The sequence below is a fragment of the Homo sapiens genome, chromosome 16, assembly GCF_000001405.40.
Source record: "Homo sapiens chromosome 16, GRCh38.p14 Primary Assembly".
Classification (NCBI taxonomy): domain Eukaryota; kingdom Metazoa; phylum Chordata; class Mammalia; order Primates; family Hominidae; genus Homo; species Homo sapiens.
The window spans coordinates 28,209,746-28,227,398 of NC_000016.10; the positions used below are offsets into that span (position 1 = coordinate 28,209,746).

A 17,653-nucleotide genomic window follows, 5' to 3' on the forward strand; every position below is an offset into this window, starting at 1 on the left:
TTTAGAGAAATCCTATCCCCAAATTTCATAGTTGAGGAAATTGGAACTGAGAGCTTAACTGATTTGCCACAATTCATACTGTGTAATATATATGTTAAAATACATAGACTCAGCTGTGCACGGTGGCTCACGCCTGTAATCCCAGCACTTTGGGAGGCTGAGGAGGACGGATCACTTGAGCTCAGGTTCAAGACCAGCCTGGGGAACGTGGTGAGACCTCATCTCCACAAAAAATTAGCCAGGCATGGTGGCACTTGCCTGCAGCCCCAGCTACTTGGGAGGCTAAGGTGGGAGGACTGCTTGAGCCCAGGAGGTCGAGGCTGCAGTGAGCCATGAACGTGCCACTGCACTCCAGCCTAGGAAACAAAGCAAGACCCTGTCTCAAAACAAATAAAAATAAAACACATACACTATACGTATAGCATATACTGTACGGTGCTGCTCAGCATTAATGGTGTACTTTACCCAGCTGGTTGTAAGCTCCATATCTCAGGACCTACACACTACCCACAGGCCCCTTGAATGTTTCGAAAATTCCACAGGCCTTAAGGTCTGTATCACAAAAGATGCAGCTATGTCCCTTTCTCTATTATACCACTAACTTGGCAGGGGTAAAATGGGTGAAACTGAGGAGAACAGCTCCACTCCTCGAGGTGCTCAACCACAGGCTAGGTGATCCAGTACTTACCAAGGGCTTACTATGTGCCAGGAGCTGGAGCAGATAAGGGTTCAAACAATTTGGTCTTTGAAGGAGCTGTGTATACCGCAATAGACAGATAAGGCTCAGAAATAATTACAAGAGCAAAAAGGCAAATGCTTAACAAAGAGATGTGGGTACACACATTTAGGGGAGTATTGAAAGTATCGGTCTAGAAAACGTGGAGATGTGGATACACAAAGAGATGTGAGTACACACATTTAGGGGAGTATTGAAAGTATCGGTCTAGAAAACGTGGAAGGTAGCTTCAGCAGAGATCAGAGCATGTAGAATAGCAGCCTCAGTGTCAAAAGATCACGACCATTCCTGACTTTGCCATCACCTGTGCAAGTGACCTCTGTAAATCGCTCTGTTTCCTCATATATAAACCTACAGCTAGATGAGATGTTTCTCCTACAATCACCCAGCTCTCTAAGTGTATTAGAGATGCCTAGGTTCAAAGTCAGATGCCTAGGTTCAAATCTTAACACTGTTAAAAAGTCGCTTGACCTTGAGCTGGGGAATTAATTGCTCCGTGCCTCAGTCTCCCCACTTCCGAACAGAGGGCTGGTGTGATCATTAAATACTACTGCACTGTCAATCACTTCGCGCAGGGCCTTGGCAAGTAGTAAGCCCTCAATAAACGATAGTTATTATCCGGAGGAGCTGCAGGAGGCAAACACCAGATGCAAGGGTTGTGCCTGCTGCGCTCCCAGGGCCCTCCCAGGCCTGAGCCATCATCCCTGGGGGGATGGGAGCGCAGGGCCGGGGCTGCACACTCTGCACGCATGTGTCACCGGCCAGGCTCCGCACGCGCCTCTCCCCGCCATGGGGAGAGCAGCGATGGCTCAGCAGCCCCGGGGCCCATTCCCACCCTTCCGGTAGGGCACCCCAGGAGGGAAGGGGGCTCCAATTCCACTTACCATGCTGGCCGGGGAGGGGGCGGCTCAGATGAGCTGGTTCTTGGGCTTCGGACACGTCCCGCTCGCACAGTTCAGGTCATGGTCCCGGCAGACTCGGGAAGTCCCCCACCCATGCAAAGACAACCCCTTCCCCACCGGGCCCCGAGGGGACCCTCTAAAAAGGGCAGGGCCGCCCGGGTCGCCTCATCGGGGGACCCCGAGACAATTCATCCAGACCCACCCGCCCCTCCCCAAGGAAACTGAAAAAGCAGGAAATGAGGCTCGGATGCCGGCGAGGAGGGCAGCTGCTCGGGACCCCCGCCCGGGCCCGACCCCCGCGGGGGAGGCTGCGGGCCCAGGCAGGGGCTCCCCGGCCTCCGCGGGCAGAGGTGGCGGCGGCCCCGGCCCCGAGGCTGAACGGGCGGAGGCTGACAGGCCTCGACCGCGCGGCCCAGGCGGCCGGCTCAGGGGAGAGGCCCGGGGGCCCGCGCTGTCCTCGCAGCCTCAACCCACACGGCCACTGCCGCCGCCCCCTAGAGCATCCTTGCGCGCGCCCGCCCTGGAGCCGCCCGCTAGTACCGCGCGGCCGCCCCCGACCAACAGCCCCAACGCGCCGGAAGTGGCGAGCGCCGGGCGGCCCCACAGCGCGGCCGCCGGGCTGCGGCGCTGGAACCGGACCAATCCGGAATCGAGCGGGGCGAGCGGGGGGAGCGGGCGGAGGGCGGAGGGCGGGGCTGCACCTGACGGCTCCCACTGGCCCCGCCTTCTTACCACGCCCTCTCTTGCCCCGCCCCCTGCGCCCACCGCCCGTGCGTCCACGCGGGCCGGCAGCCATCTTGGTAAAGGGAGCCCGGGCTGCCATTTTAGTAAAGGCGTGGTTTCCCTTTCGCTTTTTTCGCCCATTCATTCCGCTAAAATTTTAGTGAGTGCCTTTTACGGGCGGAGCATCGAGCTGGCAGCGTGACGACACGCGGCCCTATGGAGCTTACATTCATGCAGTCCACACACTCTTGCCCGACTATATTCCAGGCCCTGCTGTGGATGCTAGGACAGGGGAGATAAACGTAACTTCGATAGCCAAGGTGCTGAGAGAGGCAGAGAATGTGTTGGATTCCTGTTCCCATCCTCCAATCCACTTTACTCGTGAAAGTGCTCATCTTTATTTTGTTTTATTTTTGGGGACAGGTTCTTGCTCTGTTGCCCAGGCTGGAGTGCGGTAACACAATCATGGCTCACTGCAGCCTCAACCTCCTGGTGCGCCACCATGCCCAGCTAAATTTTTTTATTTTTTGCAGAGGTGAGGCCTCCTTTTGATGCTTGGGCTGGTCTGGAACTCCTGGGCTCAAGCAGCTTTCCTGCCTCAGCCTTCCAAAGTGCTGGGATTACAGGTATGAGTCATCCAGCCAGGCTGAAAGTGCTAATTTTAAGAAACAGTCAGGAAACTATCCCAAACAGCTGAGGTTGAGCCCGCGGGTGTGCCTACTACATAGATTGGAGCAAATCTATGTAACCCAATGGCCCTTGTCAACCTTAAATAACGAGATTGAGAAAATAGTATTTAAGTATAGGGTTTATTCAAGCCCGAAGCTTGAAGATGGCCCACCAGAAGTATAGTCCAATTAGTGGCAGTTACAAATGGGGTTTCCTTGTTTGTTTGTTTGTTTTTAAGACAGGGTCTTGCTCTGTCGCCCAGACTAGAGTGTAGTTTGTTGTTGTTGTTGTTTGAGACGGAGTCTCGCTTTGTCGCCCAGGCTGGAGTGCAATGGTGCAATCTCAGCTCACTGCAACTTCCGCCTCCCGGGTTCAAACGATTATCCTGCCTCAGCCTCTCGAGTAGCTGGGACTACAGGCACCCACCATGATGCCCGGCTATTTTTTTTATTTTTAGTAGAAACGGAGTTTCACCATAGTGGCCAGGCTGGTCTTGAACTCCCGACCTCAGGTGATCCGCCAGCCTCGGCCTCCCAAAGTGCTGGGATTACAGGCGTGAGCCCTCCCGCCTGGCTTCAAGTGGGTTTCTAAGGAAAAAAGAGGCATAACATAAGGTTGAATAGGAATGATGAGAAAGGGGGAAAAAATAACATAAGCTATTGCCTATACATTGTTCTTTGTATCACAAATTTCAGGAACCTGAAGGAAATGGGGGAGGCAGCTAGTCTGGAACAAAATATCTTTAAACAATTGTCCCCGAGCATGTGGAGGTGGGAGTGTGCCCGAACTCCCATACACAAGTCTCAGTGGACCTGACAAATTTTGCATACTTCACATAACTCAGACTTCCCTGAGCTATTTTTCTTTCCTGTCAAACCTCAGTGTGATCTGAATCAATTCACCCAGAAGGACTGTTAAAACAAAGATTACTCGCTCCACTCATAGACTTTCCCATCCAGTAGGTTTGAGATGGGGCTGAATAATTTGCATTTCTAACAAGCTCCCAAATGAAGCTGATGCTGCAGGTCTAGATACCACATTTGGAGAACCACTGATACAACACTTTACCACTGAAAGCAATAGCTTTCAGGGGTTTTTTAGTTTTTTGTTTGTTTGTTTGTTTGTTTGTTTTTGGAGAAAGGGTCTCACTCTGTTGCAGTGACATGATCATGGCTCACTGCAGCCTCAAACTCCCAGCCTCAAGCACTTTTTTTTTTTTTTTAATGAGACAGAGTTTCGGTCTTGTTGCCCAGGCTGGAGTGCAATGGCATGATCTCGGCTCACCGCAACGTCCGCCTCCTGGGTTCAAGCAATTCTCCTGCCTCAGCCTCCCAAGTAGCTGGGATTACAGGAGCCCACCACCGCACCCAACTAATTTTTTGTATTTTCAGTAGAGACGGGGTTTCACCATGTTGGTCAGGCTGGTCTCAAACTCCCGACCTCAGGTGATCCACCCGCCTCGTCCTCCCAAAGTGCTGAGATTACAGGCATGAGCCACCGCGCCAGGCCATCAAGCACTATTTTTTTTTCTCTTGAGAGGGAGTTTCGCTCTTGTTGCCCAGGCTGGAGTACAATGGTGCAATCTCGGCTCACTGCAACCTCTGCCTCCCAGGTTCAAGCAATTCTCCTGCCTCAGCCTCCCAAGTAGCTGGGATTACAGGCACCTGCCACCACACCCAGCTAAATTTATTTTTGTATTTTTAGTAGAGACGGGGTTTCGCCATGTTGGCCAGGATGGTCTCACCTCCTGACCTCAAGTGATGCGCCCACCTCGACCTCCCAAAGTTCTGGGATTACAGGCATGAGCCACCATGCCCAGCCTCAAGCACATTTATTTTATCAAATCTTTATTGTTGTCCACTAAGTGACAGTCACTATTTCAAGGATTCAATGCTGAGCAAAACAAATATATGTGTGCCCTTATGGAATTTAAAGACAAATTATTTGTAAAATATTGTACAATAATGGATCAGTTATTGTGATAAGAGCAATGAAGGAAAAATTGAAACTAACATGATATAACTTTAATATAGTTTACACGCTAATAAGGCCAAGGGATCTAAAATAATCTGGCAGATTAGGATGGGGAGGAAGTCAGGAAGTGACATTTCTTTAAGCTTTGGCCTTAAAGAAGCAGGAGTTTGCTAGGCAAAGAGAGGGGGCATAGAACATTCCAGGCAGTAGAAACAGCATGTACAAGAGAAGCCATCTCAGTAGGTAAGCTGATGAATCGGAATGGAGGCCAAGTCACTTACTTGGCTTAGTTTAGTAGGATGAGTGAAAGCTTTGGGTTGAGACTCATTTGGAGTGGAATCCAGCTCTTAACTTCACTAGCTAAGGTATCTTGAGTTATTGACTCTCGAAGTCTTGGTTTCCTTACTGTAAAATTGAATGAGATAACAGAAATGCAACTGACTCACTTAAGGGTATGCCTTTGGGTTACATAACTGGACTTCCAGAGATTCATTAGCTTTTGGCTGGGTGTGATGGGAGGCCTAGATCCATTCCTCTAGGATTTTCTTTTTTTTCTGTGTGTGGTTTTGTGTGTGTTTGTTTGTTTGTTTGTTTGTTTTGTTTTGTTTTATTTTTTTGAGACAGGGTCTCAGTCTGTTCTCCATGCTAGAGTGCAGTGGCGCAATCACAGCTCACTGCAGTCTCGACCTCCCAAGCTCAAGCAAGCCTCTCACCTTAAACTCCCAGTTAGCTGGGACTACAGGTGTGCGCCACTATGCCCAGCTGATTTTTTTTTTTTCAGCAAAGACAATGTCTCACTGTGTTGCCCAGGCTAGTCTCCAACTTCTGAGCTCAAGTGATCTGCCCACCCCGGCCTCCCAAAGTGCTGGGATTACAGGCATGAGCCACCACGCCCGGCCATTCCTCTAGGACTTCCTTGCTCTGCTCTTCTCCATTATCAGACTTGTTGTCAAGGTGGTTGCCAGGAACAGCCAGGGCCACAAAATTCCCTGTTCAAATCCAGCAAAAGAGAGCACCTTTTGGCCGGGCACAGTGGCTCACACCTGTAATCCCCAACACTTTGGGAGGCCAAGGTGGATGGATCGCTTGAGGTCAGCAGTTTGAGACCAGCCTGGCCAACTGGTGAAACCCCATCTCTACTTAAAAATACAAAAATGAGGCTGGGCATGGTGGCTCATGCCTGTAATCCCAGCACTTTGGGAGGCCGAGGTGGGTGGATCACCTAAGGTCGAGAGTTTGAGACCAGCCTAGCCAATATGGAGAAACCCCGTCTCTACTAAAAATACAAAAAATTAGCCAGGTGTGGTGGCGCATACCTGTAATCCTAGCTACTTGGGAAGCTGAGGCAGGAGAATCGCTTGAACCCGGGAGGCGGATGTTGTGGTGAGCCGAGATTGCACCATTGCACTCCAGCCTGGGCAACCAGAGCAAAACTCCATCTCAAAAAAAAAAAAAAAAAAAATTAGCTGGGCATGGTGGCAGGCGCCTGTAGTCCCAGCTACTCAGGAGGCTGAGGCAGGAGAATTGCTTGAACCCAGGAGGCAGAGGTTGCAGTGAGCCGAGATTGCACCACTGCACTCCAGCCTGGGTGACAGAGTGAGACTCCATCTCAAAATAAAGAAAAAAGAGAGAGCACCTTTCTCACATCCTTTCTCAAGCCAAGAAGCTTTCCCTACTGATCCTAATTGGCCTAGGCCTAGTCCCCCGGATCTAGCCGTAGTGAAGGAGGGTGGAACTGCTATGAGTGGCTTATAGAATCCCCTGGAGTTGCTTTCAATTCCTCAGAATAAACTGGATGTGTGGAGTCACCACATCATAGCTCCATTGCCAGGCTGGGGTGAAGATTTAATTTAATGTACATAAAACACCTGGCACATGAGGCATGAGATAAGTCACAGCTATTATAAATTTGACTCCAGGGATTTTGTTCAAGTAAACTAAATAACATTTTGTTATTAATATTAATCTGAAGCCTGTCTTATTCCAAAAAAAGATTTAAGGCTGCTATTACTTTTAGTTGGCACTGCAGGGATGGCCCCCAGCCATCTCTGCCTGCCTATTTCTATTGCTACTGCCTTGATCGCCTGCATTTAGTTATTCATTCAACAAACTTTCAGTGAGTTAGTATTAGCTTTGTGCCAGGCCTTTTGCTAAAAATGAAGTATTTAAAGTGAATAAGAATCAGGCAAATTGTCCACTGTCTGGGTCAGCAACAGCCACCCAAATAATTACAGCACATTGTGAGGTGTGTATGAACTTCCTAAGCGTACGAGGAAATGGGGAGGAAGCAACAAAGATGGTAACCTTTGGGTTGGGTCTTGATGGACGAATAGAAGTTCACCTGGCTGCTGCAGTCTTCAGTCCTTTTCCTACTCCAAGCTGTCTTCCACTGTGTCCGTTTCATTGCAAGTAACAAGGTGGGGACCCTAAAGTTTGGACTCTTAACAGTTGAAGAAGAAAAAAAGAATGTATTGTCTCGTAAAACGCCATCCAAAGGTTTGGATGAATTTCAGATATGGTGGATTCAGGGTGTGAATATCACAGAATTCAGTTTCTCTCTGTTCGTTGGTTCTGCTTCCTTGACTGGGGGTCATTTATCCTCATGGGCCCTGGCATATCTAGGCTTTCCCTTCTTCCAGGTTGAAGCCTGGTGGAGAGAAGGGCATATGCATCTCCTACAAATGTCGTAGAAAAATAAACCCTTTGTCTTTGATTGGGTCACATGCCCACTCCTGAACCAGTCACCATGGCCTGGGGAGTGTGATGCCCTGATTGGCTAATCTTGGGTCACATGTGCCACCAAGCTCCAGAGTAGCTCTTTCAATGGCCAACATCTCTCTCTCTCTCGAGCTCTCATTTTTTTTTTCATTTGTTTGTTGGTTTTGAGACAGGGTCTTGCTCTGTTGCCCAGGCTGGAGTGCAGTGGCTCAATCATAACTGACGTAGCTTCAAACTCCTGGGCTCGAGTGATCCTCCCACCTCAGCCTCCCGAGTAGCTGGGACTACAGTCACTGTGCCCAGCTAATTTTTTTTTTTTTAATGACTAGGGAGACGAGGGTCTCCCTAGGGTGGTCTCAAACTCCTAGGCTCAACCGGGCATGGTAGCTCACGCCTGTAATCCCAGCACTTTGGGAGGCCAAGGTGGGCAGATCACCTGAGGTCAGGAGTTCGAGACCAGCCTGGCCAACATGGTGAAACCCCGTCTTTACTAAAAATACAAAAATTAGCTGTGCGTGGTGGCAGGCACCTGTAATCCCAGCTACTTGGGAGGCTGAGGCAGGAGAATTGCTTGAACCTGGGAGGTGGAGGTTGCAGTGAGCCAAGATCACGCCATTGCACTCCACCCTGGGGACAGGAGCAGGACTTCGTCTCAAAAAAAAAAAAAAAAAAAACTAGGCTCAAGCAATCCTCCTGCCTCAGCCTCCCAAAATGCTGGGATTACAAGGGTGAGCCACTGTGCCTGGCCTCCATAGCCAAGATCTGTCTGAGCCCCACGACAGCTCTGTGAGGATCTCAGAAGGAAGAAAGGGTGAGAGTCTGGCACCCTCTGTAGGTGATGGGAACACACTGTCTGCATAGCCTGGCATTCAAGGCCTTTGAAGGCCTTCGCAGCTCTAGAGCCAGACTCTCTGGGTTTTTACTCAGCCTGTTACGTAGCTGTGTGGCCTTGAGCAAGTCATTTAAACTCTTTGTAACCTCAGTTTCCTCATCCATAAAATAGGAATAGTACTAGTACCTAGTTGGCTGGGCAGGTACCTGTTTCAGCTAAATTCTATCAGGAAAACCAAATTAGGATTCAAAATATTGACAAGGGAACCGGGCACGGTGGCTCACGCCTGTAATCCCAGCACTTTGGGAGGCCAAAGCGGGTGGATCACTTGAGGTTAGGAGTTCGAGGCCAGCCTGGCCAACATGGCGAAACCCTGTCTCTACTAAAAACACAAAAATTATCCAGGCGTGGTGGCACGAGCCTGTAGTCCCAGCTACTCAGATGGCTGAGGCAGGAGAATCACTTGAACCTGGGAGGTAGAGGTTGCAGTGAGCCAAGATCGCACCACTGCACTCCAGCCTGAAAGAGAGAGGAAGATTCTGTCTCAAAAAAAAAACAAAAGAAATGTTGACAAGGGGACTTTTTTTTTTTTTTTTTTTGAGACGGAGTCTCGCTCTGTCACCCAGGCTGGAGTACAGTGGCATGATCTCAGCTCACTGCAACCTCTGCCTCCTGGGTGCAAGCGATTCTCCTGCCTTAGCCTTTTGAGTAGCTAGGATTATAGGCATGCACCACCATGACTGGCTAATTTTTGTATTTTTAGTAGAGACGAGGTTTCACTGTGTTGGCCAGGCTAGTCGTGAACTCCTGACCTCAGGTGATCCCCCCACCTTGGCCTCCCAAAATGTTGGGATTACAGGTGTGAGCCACCATGCCCAGCTGACAAGGGGACTATTTTTAAAGGGTGGGATGTAAGGAAACCCTGCAAAGGAAAACACAACACAAGAGGTCTAGTAACAGCATGATTATTAGTACTTCTAAGCCTGCAGGGACAAGAGGAGGAATGGAGGCCAGAATCTGGAAAGGAAGAATTGTGTGAGAGCAGCTGAAGGAAGCAGCCAGCTAAGGTGATGCTGTGGGGAGAATGCCAGTGAAATAAACATGCTGACCTCACTGTCTGCTCTCTTGCTAATCTCCTGCTGGGGGATCCACATTGGATAAGTCCAGCTGTAAGCCAGGGAGCAAGGGAGCCTGCTGATGTAATCCGTACAGGTCGAACTTCTGGGCACAGGGCAGGCAGCACAGGGAAAGTGTGACAGCAGGGGAGCACATGGAAAAGATCCGGCAGCCCACCATGACCACGGCAAAGCATGAGAAGTGTTTAGAACTGTGTGGGTGGATCACCTGGGTCAGGAGTTTGAGACCGGCCTGGGTAACATGGTAGAACCCTGTCTCTACTAAAAATACAAAACTGAGCCAGTTGTGGTGGTGCATGCCTGTAGTCCCAGCTACTTGGGAGGCTGAGGCAGGAGAACTGTTTGAACCCAGGAGGCAGAGGTTGCGGTGAGCCGAGACCGCACCACTGCACTCCAGCCTGGGCAACAGAGTGAGACTCTATCTCAAAAAAAAAAAAAAAAAAAAGAACTGTGCTTGTACGTTACAAGACTTTCTTTCTTTCTTTTTTAAAGAGAGGCAGGATCTCACTCCATTGCCCAGGCGGGAGTGCAGTGGTGCAATCATGGCTCACTGCAGCCTCAACATTCCAGGCTCCAGTGATCCTTCCACCTCAGCCTCCTGAGTAGCTGAAACTACAGGCACGTGTCACCACACCCAACTATTTTTTATTTATTCTTTTGTAGAGACCAGTCTCACTATGTTGCCCAGGCTGGTTTCAAACTCCTGGGCTCAAGCAATCCTCCCACCTCAGCCTCTCAAAGTGCTGCGATCACAGGCATAAGCCACCACACCTGACAAAGATTTTCAATAAATTTTAGTTATTAATCACTATATCCATCCCAGCTTTCTTTTTTTTTTTTTTTTTTTGAGATGAAGTCTTGCTCTTGTTGCCCAGGCTAGAGTGCAATGGCACGATCTTGGCTCACTGCAACTTCTGCTTCCCGGGTTCAAGCAATTCTCCTGCCTCAGCCTCCCAAGTAGCTAGGATTACAGGGTCCTGCCACCATGCCCGGCTAATTTTTGTAATTTTAGTAGAGACGGGGTTTCAAAATGTTATCAGGCTGGTCTCAAACTCCCAACCTCAGGCGATCCACCCACCTCGGCCTCCCAAAGTGCTGGGATTACAGGTGTGAGCTACTGCATCCGGCCTGCATCCCACCTTTCTAACTCCTCTCCATATACAAACCCAGCAAGCTAGAGTCCTCTTGGCTCCTGGAAACAGCAGACTCTTTTTTTTTTTTTTTTTTTTTTTTTTTTTTTGAGACGGAGTCTCACTCTATCGCCCAGGCTGGAGTGTAATGGTGCGTTCTCTGCTTACCGCAACCTCTGCGTCCCTGGTTCAAGTGATTCTTGTGCCTCAGCCTCCTGAGTAGCTGCAATTACAGGCAGGCATGTGCCACCACGCCCAGCTAATTTTTGTGTTTTTGTTTTTTTTTTTTTCAGTAGAGATGGGTTTTCATCATGTTGGCCAGGCCAGTCTCGGACTCCTGACCTCAGGTGATTTACCTGCCTCAGGCTCCCAAAGTGCTGGGATTCCAGGCACGAGCCACCACACCCAGCGGACTCTTTCATGTCTCAGAGCCAAGGCTCATGTTGTTCTGCTATTTGGGGTGTCCTTTTCCTCATCCCTTTCCCTTCCTTTTAAATTCCTACTCACCCTAAAGACCCAACTCAAATGTATCCTACTCAGTGATTTCCTGGCATAGAGTAAATGAATGTTTGCAAACATCCATTACCATGATTAATGGAGAAATTTTGCCTGAATGAAGCCATCCTCACAGGATTAACAAGAATTCTGCACAGAAATACAGTTACAATTAAGCATCAACCAGGCTGCACTTTGACCCACTTCCTTGTACCCAAAAGTCACATGGCACTAGATACTGACCACTTGCATCCCCAGTGCTCTTTTAGATAGCATTTCTGATATTAGAATCATAAGGCTTTTTTTTAAAAGAATAGCTTAAGCAGATTTTTTTTGAGACAGGTCTTGCTCTGTTGCCCAGGCTGGAGTGCAGTGGCGAGAATATGGCTCACTGCTGCCTTGACCTCCTGGGCTCAAGCAATTCTCCATCTTGGCCTCCCAAGTAGCTGGGACTACAGGGACCGTGCCTGGCTTTATTCCACCTGTTTCACTGATCAACAGGGAATCTGACCAGGCACAGTGGCTCATGTCTGTAACCCCAGCACTTTGGGAGGCCAAAGTGGGAGGATCACATGAGCCTAGAGGTTTGACACCAGCCTGGGCAACATAGTGAGACCCAGTCTCTACAAAGGTGGAAGCTGCAGTGAGCCAAGATTGCGCCATTGCACTCCAGCCTGAGCGACAGAGTGAAACTGTCTCAAAATAAAAAAATAAAAAAAAAAAGAAAGGTGGTGTCTGAGACTCATGTTCATTAAGACCACTCCCGGCCTGGCGCGGTGGCTCACGCCTGTAATCCCAACACTTTGGGAGGCCAAGGCAGGTGGATCATGAGGTCAGGAGTTCAAGACCAGCCTGGCCAAGATGGTGAAACCCCGTCTCTACTAAAAATACAAAAATTGTCTGGGCATGGTGGCACTTGCCTATAATCCCAGCTACTCAGGAGGCTGAGGCAGAGAATTGCTTGAACCTGGGAGGTAGAGGTTGCAGTGAGCCAAGATAGCACCACTGCACTCCAGCCTGGGCGATAAAGCGAGACCATCTCAAAAACAAAACAACCAAAAAAAAAACACTCCCATCCAACCCCAAGACATACTCACATCTTCCAAGAACGTCAGGCAACTTTCAGATTATGAGACCCCTCAGAGCTTGAACCCAACCTCCCACCTTCACTTTTAGCTGGTTGTTGGAACAATATATTTCTTTTTTTTTGAGACAGAGTCTCGCTCTGTTGCATAGGCTAGAATGCAGTGGTGTGATCTCGGCTCACTGCAACCTCCGCCTACCAGGTTCAAGAAATTCTCCTGTCTCAGCCTCCCGAGTAGCTGGGACTACACACATACACCACCACACTTGGATAATTTTTTAATTTTTTGTAGAGATGGGCTCTCACTGCGTTGCCCAAGCTGTTCTCAAACAATCCTAGGCTCAAGCAATCCTCCCACCTCAGCCTCTCAAAGTGTTGGGATTACAGGCGTGAGCCACCATGCCTTTTGTTTTTTTTTTTTTTTAAGGGAGTTGGGGTCTGGCTGTGTATCCCAGGCTGGAGTGCAGTGGTGCAATCTCAACTTACTGCAGCCTTGAACTCCTGGGCTCAAGAGATCTTCCCACATCAGCCTCCTGTGTAGCTGGGGCTACAGACACAAGCTGCTGCATCGGCCTATGCATCTTTACTAAGAGTTCATGAGGATACAGAGGAGAGGACTTACATCACTGACCCCATAGCAAATAACCTAACCTTTCAGCTTTTTTTTTGTTTTTTTTTGAGACTCGGTCTGTCGCCCAGGCTGGTGTACAGTGGCACGATCTCTGCTCACCTCAACCTCCACCTCCCGGGTTCAAGCAATTCTTCTGCCTCAGCCTCCTGAGTAGCTGGGACTACGGGCGTGTGCCACCACACCCAGATAATTTTTGTATGTTTAGTAGAGACGAGGTTTCACCATGTTGGCCAGGCTGGTCTCTAACTCCTGACCTCATGATCTGCCTGCCTCAGCCTCCCAAAGTGCTAGGATTACAGGTGTGAGCCACCACGCCTGGCCCACCTTTCAGTTTTGTTTGTTTTTTTTTTTTTTTTTTTTGATGGAGTCTCGCTCCTCTCGCCCAAGCTGGAGTGCAGTAGCACGATCTCGGCTCACTGCAACCTCTGATTTCAGCTCACTGCAACCTCCATCTCCCGGATTCCAGCGATTCTTCTGCCTCAGCCTCCCAGATAGCTGGGACTACAGGCGCAGGCCACCACACCGGGCTAATTTTTGTATTTTTAGTAGAGACGGGGTTTCACCATGTTGGCCAGTCTGGTCTTGAACTCCTGACCCTCGTGATCCACCCGCCTTGGCCTCCCAAAGTGCTGGGATTACAGGGGTGAGCCACAGCGCCCGGCCATCAGCTTTTTATTCCCCCATATTTTCTGCCTGTTTTCACAATTTTTCATCAGCTGGTCTGCTGCTAGCTCACTTTTTTCCTGAGCCCCTCGTCTCCCATAATGCCTGGCTGTCCAGGGCATGTTCCCTGCCTTCAGAATTTCACTCCAAATCTCACGTTTCTCTCCCACTTTTTTTTTTTTTTTTTTTGAGACGGAGTCTCACTCTGTTGACCAGGCTTGAGGGCAGTGGCGCAATCTCGGCTCACTGCAACTTCTGCCTCCCGGGTTTAAGCAATTCTCTGCCTCAGCCTCCTGAGTAGCTGGGATTACAGGCGCCCACCACCGTGCCCAGCTAATTTTTATATTTTTAGTAGAGATGGGGTTTCACCATGTTGGCCAGGCTGGTCTTGAACTCCTGACCTCATGATCCACCCGCCTCTGCCTCCCAAAGTGCTGGGATTATAGGCATGAGCCACCACGCCCAGCTCACTCTCCCCACTATTATGCAGAAATGGGAGTCAGCATTGCCCCAGATGCTGCCCCCCATTTGCATATCCATACTCTAGGTGCTCAGCAAAGCAAAGGACCTTTACATTAACAGAACGCATTATCCTGGCCAGGCATGGTGGCTCATGTCTGTCATTGCAGCACTTTGGGAGACCAAGGCGGGAGGATCACTTCAGCCCAGGAGTTTGAGACCAGCCTGGACAACATAGCAAGACTCCCTCTCTACCAAAAAATTTCTAATATTGGCCAGCCATGGTGGCATCTGCCTGTAGTATCAGCTACTTGGGAGGCTGAAGCAGGAGGATCCCTTGAGCCCAGGAGTTTGAGGCTGCAGTGAACTATAATTGTGCCACTGCACTCCAGCCTGGGTGCCAGAGCGAGACTCTTTCTAAAAAAAGAAAGAGGTAGGGCACAGTCGCTCATACCTGTAATCCCAGCACTTTGGGAGTCCAAGGTGTGTGTATCACGAGGTCAGGAGTTCGAGACCAGCCTGGCCAATATGGTGAAATCCTGCCCCTACTAATAATACAAAAATTAGCTGGGCATGGCGGCATGCCTGTAGTCCCAGCTACTCGGGAGGTTGTGGCAGGAGAATCACTTGAACCCTGGAGGCAGAGGTTGCAGTGAGCCGAGATCATGCCATTGCACTCCAGCCTGGGCAGCAGAGCAAGACTCCATCTCAAAAAAAAGAAAAGGAGATTTCCATGCCAATGTTATAAAGGAAATTGTCCATGCTTTCTTCCACTGCTTTTCTAGTTTTTTCTTTTTAGCAGGTAAATCTTTCATCTACTTGGAGTCTATCTTGGTGTCCAGTATGAGGTATGAATCCAGGTTGCTTTGTTTGTTTGTTTGTTTGTTTGTTTGTTTGTTTTGAGACAGAGTTTCACTCTTATCGCCCAGGCTGGAATGCAATGGCATGATCTCGGCTCACTGCAACCTCCATCTCCCGGGTTCAAGCAATTCTCCTGCCTCAGCCTCCTGAGTAGCTGGGACTACAGGCGCCCGCCACCACGCCCAGTTAATTTTTGTATTTTTAGTAAATATGAGGTTTTACCATGTTGGCCAGGTTGGTCTCGAACTCCTGACCTCAGGTGATCCACCCACCTCGGCCTCCTAAAATGCTGGGATTACAGGTGTGAGCCACTGTGCCCAGTCCAGACTGTTGTTTTGAGACCAGAGAAGTCAAACCCAAACCAGGGACAGGTAACTTCGTTCCCAGGAAGAGGCCAGGCCAGTTGGCAGGACTTGCATGGAGCAAAGGAATTGCCTGGGACTGGCCAAGTTTAGGCTCCAAGACAACAGGAGGCAACACCATGTCCCAGTAGGGGTGATGGCAAGAAGCAGAATCAGGTGGCAAGCCCAGGGTCCCAGCCATCAGAGGGACAAGGAGGGCAGGAGAAGGGACAGGGATGCTACTTCTGCACTTCAGACAAAGCCTGCCTGTGGCCTGACCTTTGGGACTCCGGGCCTCCTGAGCCTCAGGGTCACTCTCCCTGAGCCCTACTTTCCTGATACACAGAGAAAAGTGAGAGAGCGTCCTTACCTTCAAAAAGTTCTTATTGTCTGGGCGTGGTGGCTCACACCTGTAGTCCCAGCTACTCGGGAACTTTAGGTGGGAGGATCGCTTGAGCCCAGGAGTTAGCGAGGCTGTAGTGAGCTATGATTACACTACTGCACTCCACCCTGGGTGACAAAGCAAAACCTTGTCTCTTAAAAAAAATAAATAAATAAGGCCAGGCACGGTGGCTCACGCCTGTAATCCCAGCACTTTGGGAAGCCGAGGTGGGCAGATCTCTTGAGCCCAGGAGTTGGAGACTAGCCTGGGCAACGTAGGGAAACCCCGTCTCTACTACAATTAAAAAATATATAGGAATTAAATACACACATAAGATTCTAATTCTTTTCTTTTTTTCTTTTTTTTTTTTTTTTTCAGACTGAGTCTCGCTCTGTTACCAGGCTGGAGTGCAGTGACTCAATCTTGGCTCACTGCAACCTCTGCCTCCTGGGTTCCAGCAATTCTCCAGCCTCAGCCTCCCGAGTAGCTGGGACTACAGGCGCACACCACCACGCCCAGCTAATTTTTGTATTTTTAGTAGAGATGAGGTTTCCTCATGTTGGCCAGGATAGTCTTGATCTCTTGACCTCGTGATCTGCCTACCTCGGCTTCCCAAAGTGCTGGGATTACAGGCGTGAGCCACTGCGCCCGACCTAAGGTTCTAATTCTTAAAGAAGAGTCACATGTATCAGTCAAGGATTCTAAGACCAAAGGCAGAATAAAATAAAGGTCAAGAGACTATGAACAGCCAGGTACAGTGGCTCACGCCTGTAATCCCAGCACTTTGGGAGGCCAAAGTGTGTGGATCACCTGAGGTCAGGAGTTTGAAATCAGCCTGTGCAACATGGTGAAATCCTGTCTCTATCAAAAATACAAAAATCAGCCAGGCATGGTGGCACGCATCTGTAGTCCGAACTACTCAGGAGGCTGAGGCAGGAGAATCACTTGAACCCGGGAGGCAGAGGTCACAGTGAGCCGATATCGTGCCACTGCACTCCAGCCTCAGCAATAGAGTGAGACCCCATGTCAAAAAATAAAATAAATAAAAACCAAGAGACTGTGAATAATATATCCTAACTTTCAGGAGGGCTTTATGTAGGAGGTGATGGCATTTGAGCTGAGCTTTAAAAAATTATTGGGCTGAGCGTGGTGGCTCATGCCTGTAATCCCAGCACTTTGGGAGGCTGAGGCAGGTGGATCACGAGGTCAGGAGATCGAGACCATCCTGACTAACACGGTAAAACCCCATCTCTACTAAAAATACAAAAAAATTAGCTGAGCGTGGTGGTGGGCACCTGTAGTCCCAGCTACTTGGGAGGCTGAGTCAGGAGAATGGCATGAACCTGAGAGGCGGAGCTTGCAGTGAGCCGAGATCAAGCCATCGCACTCCAGCCTGGGTGACAGAGCGAGACTCTGTCTCAAAAAAAAAAAAAAAAATTGTTGAGTTTTCAACAGGTCGAAAATTAGTTTGTTTTTGTTTTTGTTTTTTTTGTCTGAGACAGTGTCTCGCTCTGTTGCCCAGGGTGGAGTGCAGTGGCACAGTCTCGGCTCACTGCAACCTCCACCTCCTGTGTTCAAGTGATTCCCCTGCCTTAGCTTCCTGAGTAGCTGGGATTACAGGAGCCTGCCACCATGCCCGGCTAATTTTTTTTGTATTTTTAGTAGAGACAGGGCTTCACTCTGCTGGCCAGGCTGATCTCGAACTCCTGACCTCAGTGATCTACCTGCCTTGGCCTGCCAAAGTGCTGAGATTACAGGCATGAGCCACCACACCCAGCCTAAGAATTACTTTTAATTGTAATAGCATTAATTGTATACGTCATCTTAGGGAGAAGTGATGTCTTTATGCTGTTGACTTTGCTCTTTCAAGAATAAGTCTGTCATTCCGTGAGTTCTGGTCTTCTTTTGCCTTCATCA

General features: G+C 49.4%; 1 protein-coding gene across 2 annotated transcripts in view, besides 5 other annotated features; it reads right to left on the reverse strand.

The window, feature by feature from the left end:
- The window catches only part of XPO6 (exportin 6), a 113,990-nt gene extending 111,770 nt beyond the window's left edge, over window positions 1-2,220 (reverse strand). For both annotated transcript variants that reach the window (NM_015171.4, NM_001270940.2), the window contains exon 1: window positions 1,621-2,220. In NM_015171.4, the coding sequence (NP_055986.1) occupies window positions 1,621-1,623 (3 nt within the window). In that variant the 5' untranslated portion in view covers window positions 1,624-2,220. The remainder of the gene's footprint in view (window positions 1-1,620) is intronic.
- Window positions 1,340-2,338: an enhancer, noted in NCBI's record as "H3K27ac hESC enhancer chr16:28222406-28223404 (GRCh37/hg19 assembly coordinates)". NCBI's record gives its function as "activates a minimal SCP1, AML or CMV promoter by ChIP-STARR-seq in naive H9 embryonic stem cells {active_cell/tissue: H9 hESC(naive)}" and the evidence as "EXISTENCE:reporter gene assay evidence [ECO:0000049][PMID:30033119]".
- Window positions 1,340-2,457: a biological region, named in NCBI's record as "H3K27ac hESC enhancer GRCh37_chr16:28222406-28223404".
- Window positions 1,968-2,457: a silencer, noted in NCBI's record as "silent region_7306". NCBI's record gives its function as "represses an Ori minimal core promoter by ATAC-STARR-seq in GM12878 lymphoblastoid cells {active_cell/tissue: GM12878}" and the evidence as "EXISTENCE:reporter gene assay evidence [ECO:0000049][PMID:35858748]".
- Window positions 9,451-9,952: an enhancer, noted in NCBI's record as "H3K27ac hESC enhancer chr16:28230517-28231018 (GRCh37/hg19 assembly coordinates)". NCBI's record gives its function as "activates a minimal SCP1, AML or CMV promoter by ChIP-STARR-seq in naive H9 embryonic stem cells {active_cell/tissue: H9 hESC(naive)}" and the evidence as "EXISTENCE:reporter gene assay evidence [ECO:0000049][PMID:30033119]".
- Window positions 13,187-14,037: an enhancer, noted in NCBI's record as "H3K4me1 hESC enhancer chr16:28234253-28235103 (GRCh37/hg19 assembly coordinates)". NCBI's record gives its function as "activates a minimal SCP1, AML or CMV promoter by ChIP-STARR-seq in primed H9 embryonic stem cells {active_cell/tissue: H9 hESC(primed)}" and the evidence as "EXISTENCE:reporter gene assay evidence [ECO:0000049][PMID:30033119]".